We start from the raw sequence: 11,092 nt of genomic DNA on the forward strand, positions 1-11,092 counted from the left end.
GATGGGTTTGAATCGGAACATGGAATAAATATCTAGAAGCAGTCATCCTGGGGAAGAACAAAAAAACACAGGAAGACATCAGTAAAAGCCCTTCAAGAGATGAGCAGAAGCCAGGCACGGTGGCTCACACCTGTAATCCCAGCACTTTGGGAAGCCAAGGTGGGCGGATCACTTGAGACCAGCCCGGCCAACATGGTGAAACCCTGTCTCCACTAAAAATACAAAAATTAGCTGGGCATGTTGGTGGGCACTTGTAATCCGAGCTACTCAGGAGGCTGAGGCAGGAGAATCGCTTGAATCTGCGAGGCAGAGGTTGCCCTGAGCCAAGATCACCCCACTACACTCCAGCCTGGGCAACAGAGTGAGACTCCGTCCCCAAAAAAAAGAAGAAAAAAAAAAGAGAGAGATGAATAGAAAATACAGGGATTAAAGTAACTGGACTATTTATTTAGTAGGAAGAATAGGAAGACTTTGTAAGACTTCAATCATTCATTTCTCCATTCACTCACTCAACAAACATTTATTGGATGCCTACTATTTGCTGACACTGTTTTTTGGTGTTGGAAAGACAGCAGGAGATAAACTGTACAAACATCTCTGGCCTGTGGAGCTCATGTTCCAGTGGGTGGAGACAGACAGCAAGCAAGATTAAGAAGTAAAATAGCCTGTGATTTCAGTATTTTGGGAGGTCGAGGCAGGTGGATCACTTGAGGTCAGGAGTTCGAGACCAGCCCGGGCAACATGGTGAAACCCCATCTCTACCAAAAATACAAAAAATTAGCTGGGCATGGTGGCGTGCACCTGTGGTCCCAGCTACTTGAGAGGCTGAGGTGGGAGGAGTGCTTGAGCTTGGGAGGCGAAGGTTGCAGTGAGCTGAGATTGCACCATTGCACTCCAGCATGCGGGACAGACTGAGACCCTGTTGCAAAAAAAAATAAAAACTAAATAGAGGTAAAATATGTTATGGGGGGAAAAGTGAACCAGGAGAAAGGCTCCTGGAGTACAGGGGAGGGTTGCAATCTTAAACAAAGTGGTCAGGAGCAGCTTGATGGAGTAAAGACCCCAAATGTGGGAAAAAGCCATGCAGGTAACTGGGGTAGAGTGGGATCAGCAAGGACAAAGGTCACGAGGTGGGAAGGAGGCTGATGTACTCAAGAAACAGTAAGGAGGTGGGTGTATTTCCTTCCTATAGCTGCTGTAACAAATGACCATGCATTTAGTGGCTTAAAACAACACAGTTTTTTTGTTTTGTTTGTTTGTTTGTTTGTTTTGTTTTTGAGACGGAGTTTCACTCTTGTCGCCCAGGCTGGAGTGCAATGAATGGCACGATGTTGGCTCACCTCTGCCTCCGGGGTTCAAGCGATTCTCCTGCATCATCCTCCCGAGTAGCTGGGATTACAGGCACGCGTCACCACGCCCAGCCAATTTTGCATTTTTAGTAGAGACAGGGTTTCTCCATATCGGTCAAGCTGGTCTCAAACTCCCGACCTCAGGTGATCCGCCTGCCTCAGCCTCCCAAAGTGCTGGGATTATAGGCATGAGCCATGGCACATGGCCTTGTGGGGTTTTTTTTTTTTTTGAGACAAGGTCTCACATTGACACTGAGGCTGGAGTGCAGTGACAAAATCATAGTGCATGCCACCATGCCCAGCTAATTTTTTTCCTGTAGCGATGTAGCAGGACGAGCAGCAGACAAAACTCCTCAGACACCAGGTTAAAGAAGGAAGGAGCTTTATTCTGCCGGGAGCTTCAGCAGACTTGCATCTCAAAAAGCCCAGCTCCCCGAGCTTACAACTCAAGGGTGGTTCGCGTGAGAAGGCTGTGATCGATTGAGCAAGCAGGGGGTATGTGGCTGGGGGATGCATGCGCTGGTAATTAGAACAGAACAGAACAAGACAGGGATTTTCACAATGCTTTTCCATACAATGTCTGGAATCTATAGATAACACAAGCAGTTAGATCAGGGGTTGATTTTTAACTACTAGGCCCAGGGCATGCAGGGCTATCTGCCTGTGGATTTCATTTCTGCCTTTTAGTTTTTACTTCTTCTTTCTTTGGAGGCAGAAATTGGGCATAAGACAGTATGAGGGGTGGTCTCCTCCCTTAGAGACAGGGTCTTGCTATGTTTCCCAGGCTGATCTTGAACTCCTGGCTTCATGTAATCCTCCTGCCTTGGCCTCCCAAAGTGCCGGGATTACAGGCATGAGCCACCACGCCCAGCCTATAAGAATACAAATTTCTTCTCTTATGGTGCTAGAGGTCAAAAGACCAACACAGGTATCACATACTAAGATCAAAGTATTGGAGTCTCTGAGAGAAAATCCTTATCCTTGCCCTTTTCAGCTTTTAGAAGCCACCTACGTTCTTTGATTCATGGCTTCATTTGCCATCTTCAAAGCGAATAATGTAGCAAATAGAGCATCTTGATTCTCTCCTTCTCTCCCGTTCCCTCTCTCTTTCTGACCCCTTTATTTGTCACATTCTTATTTCCTTATCTTTCTGGGCTTCCTCTTTTCTTCTTTCTTAAAAATATTTTTTATTTTATTTATTTTATTTTTTTTCTGAGAATCTCACTCTGTCACCCAGGCTGGAGTGCAGTGGCACTATGTCAGCTCACTGCAACCTCTGCCTACTGGGTTCAAGCAATTCTTATGCCTCAGCCTCCCAAGTAGCTGTGATTACAGGCATGCGTCACCACACCCAGCTAATTTTTTGTATTTTTAGTAGAGATGATTGACCAGGCTGGTCTCGAACTCCTGACCTCAAGTAATCCACCGGCCTCAGCTTCCCAAAGTGCTGGGATTAAAGGCGTGAGCCACTGCACCCAGTCCCTCCTTCCCTCTTATAAAGACTCTTGTATCTCATCTTGGATAATCCCGAATAACTCCCCCATCTCAAGATTTTAAATTTAATCACATTTGAAAAATCCCTTTTGTTATAAGGTAATATACCCTTGGGTTCTAGGGAATGGAATGTTGACATCTTTGAAGCACTAATATTGGGCCTACTGGAAAGGTTGAAGAAAAGTTAGTGCAGGCAAGAATAGGTAGGTGAGGTCAAAGACTTTCCTTTTTTTTTTTTTTTGAGATGGAGTCTCGCTCTGTCGCCCAGGCTGGAGTGCAGTGGCACGATCTCGGCTCACTGCAAGCTCTGCCTCCCAGGTTCACACCATTCTCCTGCCTCAGCCTCCCAAGTAGCTGGGACTACAGGCGCCCGCCACCACACCTGGCTAATTTTTTGTATTTTTTAATAGAGACGAGGTTTCACCATGTTAGCCAGGATGGTCTCGATCTCCTGACCTCGTGATCCGCCCACCTCAGCCTCCCAAAGTGCTGGGATTATAGGCATGAGCCACCGTGCCCAGCCTTAAAGACATTCCTTTTTAATGACTAAACGCTTATCCATTACAAAGAATTATGTTTGCAGTTTCATTCTTTAAGACTAACTGGATTGGCCTTTTCCATGATAAATAATATTGGGTTGCACTTTTCTACTCCTTTTGCTTTTAGACTGCTTTTGTAATGTTTTCTCTATTTTTCAACTTCTAATAAAGTGAAAACACTTGGAGAGGCTGACTGCAAGATGCATTAGTTCAGCTTTCCGTGTGAGAAAGATCTACAGAACCCAAAGATTTCTATTTGGGGCATGTATATATTGGCAAAAACACTGTCCAGCCTTGCATAGCTCTTTGCTTAAATTAATTTTTTTTTTGAGACAGGGTCTCACTCTGCTGCCCAGGCTGGAGTGCAATGGTGCAACCTCAGCTCACTGCAACCTCCAACTCCCAGGTTCAAGTGATCCTCCTGCCTCAGCCTCCTGAGTAGCTGGGACCACAGGCGCGCACCACCATGCCCGGCTAATTTTTGCATTTTACTAGAGAGGGCCACCATGTTGGCCAGGCTGGTCTCAAACTTCTGACCTCAGGTGATCTGCTGATCTGGGCCTCCCAAAATTCTGGAATTAGAAGTGTGAGCCACTGCACCGGGCCCATCTTAACTTTTTTTTTTTTTTTTTTTTTTTGAGACGGAGTTTCACTCTTGTTGCCCAGGCTGGAGTGTAATGGCGAGATCTCGGCTCACTATAACCTCCACCTCTGGGTTCAAGTGATTCTCCTGCCTCAGCCTCCCAAGTAGCTGGGATTATAGGCGCCTGCCACCACACCTGGCTAATTTTTGTATTTTTTAGTAGAGATGGGGTTTTGCTATGTTGCCCAGGCTGGTCTTGAACTCCTGACTTCAGGTGATCCGCTGACATCAGCCCCTCAAAGTTCTGGGATTACAAGTGTGAGCCACCACTCTCGGCCCATCTTAACCCTTTTTTTTTTTTTTTTTTTTGAGACGGAGTCTTGCTCTGTTGCCCAGGCTGGAGTGCAGTGGCACAATCTCGGCTCACTGCAACCTCCACCTCCCAGGTTCAAGCAATCCTCCTACCTCAGCCCCCCTAGTAGCTGGGATTACAGGCATGCGCCACCATGCCCGGCTAATTTTTGTATTTTTAGTAGAGACGGGTTTTGGCCATGTTGGCCAGGCTGATCTCAAACTCCTGACCTCAGGTCCTCCACCTGCCTCGGCCTCCCAAAGTGCTGGGATTATGGGTGTGAGCCAACACGCCATGCCATCTTAACCATTTTTAAGCGTACAGTTCAGTGGTAGTAAATGCGTTCACATGGTTGTGCAAACATCACCACCATCCATACACGGAACTCTTTTCATCCTGCAAAACTAAAACTCCATCCCCATTAAACACAAACTCCCCATTCTCCACTCCCCCAAAGCCCTGGAAACCACCATTCTACTTTCTGTCTCTGAAATTTTGACTACTCTAGATATCTCATATAAGTGGAATCATATAATATTTGTTCTTCTGTGACTGGTTTGTTTCCCTTAACACAAGTTCATCCATGTTGTAGCATGTGTCAGAATTTCCTTCCTTTTTAAGACTGAATAATAGTCTATTGTATGGATAGACCACATTTTGTTTATCCATTCATCTGTTTTGGGAAGGGGGTTGTTTGTTTGCTTTGAGAAAGGGTGTTGCTCTGTCACCCAGGCTGGAGTGCAGGGGTGTGATCAGGGCTCACTGCAAGCTCCAACTCTTGGGCTCAAGCAATTCTCCCACCTCAGCCTCCTGAGTAGCTGGAATGGCAGGCATGCACCACGACATCATTTTGTTTGTTTGTTTTTTGTTTTTGAGACAAGGTCTCATTCTGTTGCCCAGGCTGGAGGGCAGTGGTGTGATCTTGGCTCACTGAAACCTCCACCTCCCAGGTTCAAGCAATTCTCATGCCTCAGCCTCCCAAGTAGCTGGGATTACAGGTGTGCACTACTATGCCCAGCTAATTTTTGTATTTTTAGTAGAGATGGGGGTTTCACCATGTTGGCGAGGCTGGTCTCAAGCTCCTGACCTCAGGTGATCCACCCGCCTCGGCCTCCCAAAGTGCTGGGATTATAGGCAAGAGCCACTGTGCCCGGCCCCCATTCATCTGTTGATGAGCACTTGGGTTTACTTCTACCTTTTGGCTATTGTGAATAATATGTACAAATATCTCTTTGAATCCCTGATTTCAATTATTTTGGATATATCTCCCGAAGTGGAATTGCTGGATCATAAGGAAATTCTATTTTGAGTTATTTAAGGAACCACCATTCTGTTTCCCACAGTAGCTGCATCATTTTACATTCCCAGCAATGCACCAGGGCTCCGATTTCTCTACATCCTCGTCAACACTTGTTGTTTTCTGTTTGGCAGTAGGCGTCCTAATGGGTGGGAAGTGGCATCTCCTTGCATAGTTCTTCGAAGCTGTCACATCAGCTCTTTACTTCCCACATATTACGTAAAGGGAGAATGCCAGCATATGCCCTCCATAGCCTTAATTCTGAACTCCTGACTTCCATTTCCTGGTCCACCCCGGGAGAACTGGACAGAAACTGAAGGAGTCATGATGTTCTCCAAAATGAAGCACAAGGAAATAGGTTTAAGCCAGCTGATTCCCAAGCTAGGCTAGGAGACTTTACAGATGATCAAATTTCCAAATGTATGTGTGTGTGTGTGTCTCTGTGTGTGTGTGTGTGTGTGTGTGTGTGAGACTGACATAGGATTTCAACAACTTATTTTGCAAAATAAGAATATTTTTTAAAATGTTTAATGTTATTTTATAATATTTTTGTTTTATAATATTTTATTCTGCTTTATTTAAAGACAGAGCCTCGCTATATTGTCCAGGCTGGAGTATGGTGGCTATCCACAGGAATGATCACAGCTCACTGCAGCCTTGAACCCCTGGGCAATCCTCCTGCCTCAGCCTCCCTAGTAGCTGGGACTACAGATGCATGTCACAGCACCTGGTTCTATTATTTTATTTTATTTAAAAATAATATGTATTTTAATATTTCTAAATGTTCAAATAATTTTAAAAGAGCATCTGTTATCATGACTTCATAAAAGCAATGAAATTAAAATGACAGAAAAACTGAGACTATATTATTCAGGATTCTCCAGAGATGCAGAGATGCAGAACTAATCAAAGATATATACATGCATACATACACATCTATTATACATACACACCCATATATACACACATACATATGCACACACACACATACATATCCATATACTTACACACATATATACACACATACACACATATATAATACACATATGTATACACACATGCACACACGCATACACATAACCACATATATACACACATACACATATGCACACATATATGCCCATATATAATACACACATATACACACATACACACATATACAGAAACACATATACACACGTATACACATGAATACACATATACATATGTATATACATACACACGTGTATACACATATTTATACATACATATATACACAAATATACACACATATATATGCTTACACGATATATACATACATATATACACATACATATATATACATACCAACATCTGTACATATATATACATACACACATATACACACATATATACATACACACACATATATACACACACACAATATACATACACACCTAGATACACACACACCTATATACACACACACACACATCTCTGAAGCTGGCAGACCTGGGTTTAACTTCTAGCTATGCCCCTTATTACCTGTGTGTAGGCAAATTATGTAACCTCTTTTTTGTCTCCATTTCGTCATCTATAAAATAAGATCACAACACCTACCTCCCTGGGCTGTTGTAAGAAATATGTTACATAATTTGCCTCCGACCTGGGTTTCTTCCAGGGGTCTTTATCTTAGAAAATGTCCATCTGGAAGTATACAAACCTGAAGCTAGGCAATGAAGCTGTAAAAGTTTTTCTGGGGAAGTGCTCTCTGAGCTGATATCAGAAGGAAAGGTGGGAGTTAACCAGGGAAAGAGTGGGAGAAAATATTCCAGGCAGAGGGAACAGCACATTCAAAGACCCAGCAGTGAAAAGGAGCCCTGACAGGAAGATGTTGGTCAAAAGGTACAAAGTTTCACTTGATAGGATGAATCAATTCAGGAGAGCTATTGTACTGCATGGTGACTCTAGTTAATAACAATGTACTGTGTGCTTGAAATTGGCTAAAAAATAGATGTTGGCTAGGCTTGGTGGCTCATGCCTGTAATCCCATTGCTTTGGGAGGCCAAGGGCAGGAGTTTGAGACCAGCCTGGTCCATCCTGGTGAAACCCCATCTCTATGAAAAATACAAAAATGAGCCAGGCATGGTGGTGGGCACCTGTAATCCCGGCTACTTGGGAGGCTGAGGCAGGAGAATCGCTTGAACCCGGGAGTTGGAGGTTGCAGTGAGCTGAGATCGTGCCACTGCACTCCAGCCTGGGTGACAGAGTGAGACTCTGCCTCAAAAAAAAAAAAAAAAAGTAGATGTTAAATGTTCTCACTACAAATAAAGGTGAGGTGATGAATATGTTAATTAGTTTGATTTAATCATTTCACATGTATACGTACATCAAAACCTCATGTTGCACACTGTAAATGTACACAATGTGTATTTGTTGATTATACCTTAATAAAGGTGGAGGAGGAAGGGCAAGAGAGCCTTGAGTATCAAATTGAAAGAAAGCAGTGTCCCTAAAGCTCTGAACACAGTGAGGGATGAAGATGAGGGCTTAGTTGAATACTTTGGTTTTGAAATGCGTGTCCACTTCTAATGGCTGCTATAACAATTTTTCAGCAACGTGGTGGCTAAAAGCAAACAAAATTTATTCCCTCACAGTTCTAGAGGCTAGGAATATGAAATCACTATTGCTGGACTGAAATCAGCGTGTCAGCAGGGGATACACTCCCTCGGGAGCCTCTAGCAGGAGAATCTTTGCCTTTCCTCACTTAGCTTCTGGTAGCTGCCAGCATTCCTTGGCTTGTGGCTGTTTCACTCCAATCTTCAAGCCTAGCATCTTTAAGTCTCCCTCTGCTCTGTCTTCATGTCACCTTCTCTGTATGTTGTCCGATCTCCCTCTGCCTCCCTCTTAAAAGAATATATGTGACTGGGCGCGGTGGTTCACGCCTTTAATCCTGCACTTTGGAAGGATCACTTGAGCCCAGGAGTTTGAGACCAGCCTGAGCAACACAGTGAGACCTTGTCTACAAAAAAATCAAAAAATTAGCTGGGCTTGGTGGTGCATACTGTGGTCCCAGCTACTTAGTAGGCTGAGGTGGGAGGATTGCTTGAGCCCAGAAGGTGGAGGCTGCAGTGAGCCACAATTGCACCACTGCACTCCTGCCTGGATGGCTGAGCAAGGCTCTGTCCCAAAAAAAGAAAAAAAAAAATGCTTGATAGAATCCAGAACAATCTCTCCATCTCAAGACCCTTCTTTTTTATTTTTTTTTTTGAGACAGTCTTGCTCGTTGCCCAGGCTGGAATGCAGTGGTGAGATCTCAGCTCATTGTAACCTCTGCCTCCCAGGTTCAAGTCATTCTCCTGCCTCAGCCTCCTAAATAGCTGGGATTACAGGCACCTGCCACCACGCCCAGCTAATTTTTGTATTTTTAAAAGAGACAGGGTTTTGCCCTGTTGGCTAGGATTGTCTTGAACTCCTTACCTTAGGTGAGCCACCTGCCTCGGCCTCCCAAAGTGTGGGGATTACAGGCACGAGCCACTGCACCTGGCCATCTCAAGATCCTTAATCACATCTTCAAAGCTTTTCCTTCCTTTTTTTTTGGAGATGGAGTCTGGCCTTGTCACTCAGTCTGGAGTGCAGTGGCATGATCAAGGTTCACTGCAACTTCCGCTTCCCGGGTTCAAGCCATTCTCCTGCCTCAGCCTCCTGAATAGGTGGGACTATAGGCGCGCACCGCCACGCCCGGCTAATTTTTTGTATTTTTTAGTAGAGACGGGTTTCACCGTGTTGCCCAGATTGGTCTCGGACTCCTGAGCTCAGGTAATCCACCCGGCTCGGCCTCCCGGAGTGTTAGGATTATAGGCGTAAACCACCGCACCCGGCCATTCAAAGAGCCTTTTTCTAAATAAGGTAACATTTACAGGGATTAGGACATGGCCATCCTTTGAGGGACTATTCTGCAGCCTACCACAAAAAAATGCATTTTATAATCAAGGCCTGGCATACAGAGAGCATTGAATAAATATTGGCTACTAGTATCATTACCAATGTCAAAATCATTACTATCTAAGATATCTTGTTTGCCTTTTCACCTTAACTCCATGCAACTAGACTTGAGCAAAATTTTAGGGATTAGTCATCCGCTTTTTCATTTATTTACTTATTTTTGGGCAATATGTACATTTACATAGTTCAAACTCAAAAGGCACATCCAAAGAGAATATCTCCCTCCAGACTACCATTTCCTCTTCATGGAGGTATCAATGAACGACTTTTATGTGATTCCTCCCAGAATTACATTCCATAGAAAAACCACATATTTGACCAGGCGCAGTGTCTCATGCCTGTAATCCCAGCACTTTGAGAGGCCGAGGAGGGAGGACTGCTTGAGTCTAGGAGTTTGAGACCAGCCTGGGCAATATACCAAGACCTCATCTCTACTAAAAATAAAAAAAATTACCAGACGTATTGGTTTTCGCCTATAATCCCAGCTACTCAGGAGGCTGAGTCAGGAGAATCGCTTGAACCTAGGAGGCAGAAGTTTCAGTGAGCCGAGATTGCACCATTGCACCCCAGCCTGAGTGACAAGAGCAAAACTCTGTCTCAAAAAAAAAAAAAAAATAACATAATGAAATCCTGTCTCTACTAAAAATACAAAAATTAGCCAGGCATGGTGGCGTGTGCCTGTAGACCCAGCTACTCAGCAGGCTGAGGTGGAGGAGGATCACTTGAGCCAAGAGTTGGAGTCTGCAGTGAGCTGTGATCATGCCATTGCACTTCAACCTGGGCGACAGAGTGAGACCCTGACTAAAAAAAAAAATATATATATATATATATATATGGCAACTCTATTACTACATAAAGAGCTTCTAGCTTTCTTCCTGCTTTATTTCCTTCTTTTTTTGGGGGGGGCGGGGGGGTCAGAGTCTCTCTCTGTCACCCAGGCTGGAGTGCAGAGGCATGATCATGGCTCACTGCGACTTCCTGAGCTCAGGCAATCCACCCACCTTAGCCTCCTGAGTAGCTGGGACTTCAGGCACCTGCCACGACAACCAAATAATTTTTGTGTTTTTTTGTAGAGGCGTGGTCTTGCTATGTTACCCAGGCTAGTCTTGAACCCCTGGGCTCAAGCGATCCTCCTGCCTCAGCCTCTGATAGTGCTACAATTTATTTATCTTTTATAGCTGCATAGTATTCCATGGAATGGTTGTATCAAACTTTATTTAATCAGCCTAAAAATGATGGGCATTTAGGTTGTCTCTAATGTATCGCTACATCAAACAATGCTGCAAAGAGTGACTTTTATGTATGTTTCACACGTGCAAGTTTATCTGTATGATAATTTTTTTTATTATACTTTAAGTTTTAGGGTACATGTGCACAATGTGCAGGTTAGTTACATATGTATACATGTGCCATGTTGGTGTGCTGCACCCATTAACTCATCATTTAGCATTAGGTGTATCTCCTAATGCTATCCCTCCCCCCTCCACCCACCCCCACAACAGGCCCCGGTGTGTG

This window comes from Homo sapiens, chromosome 12 (genome assembly GCF_000001405.40).
Source record: "Homo sapiens chromosome 12, GRCh38.p14 Primary Assembly".
In the NCBI taxonomy this organism is placed as follows: Eukaryota; Metazoa; Chordata; class Mammalia; order Primates; family Hominidae; genus Homo; species Homo sapiens.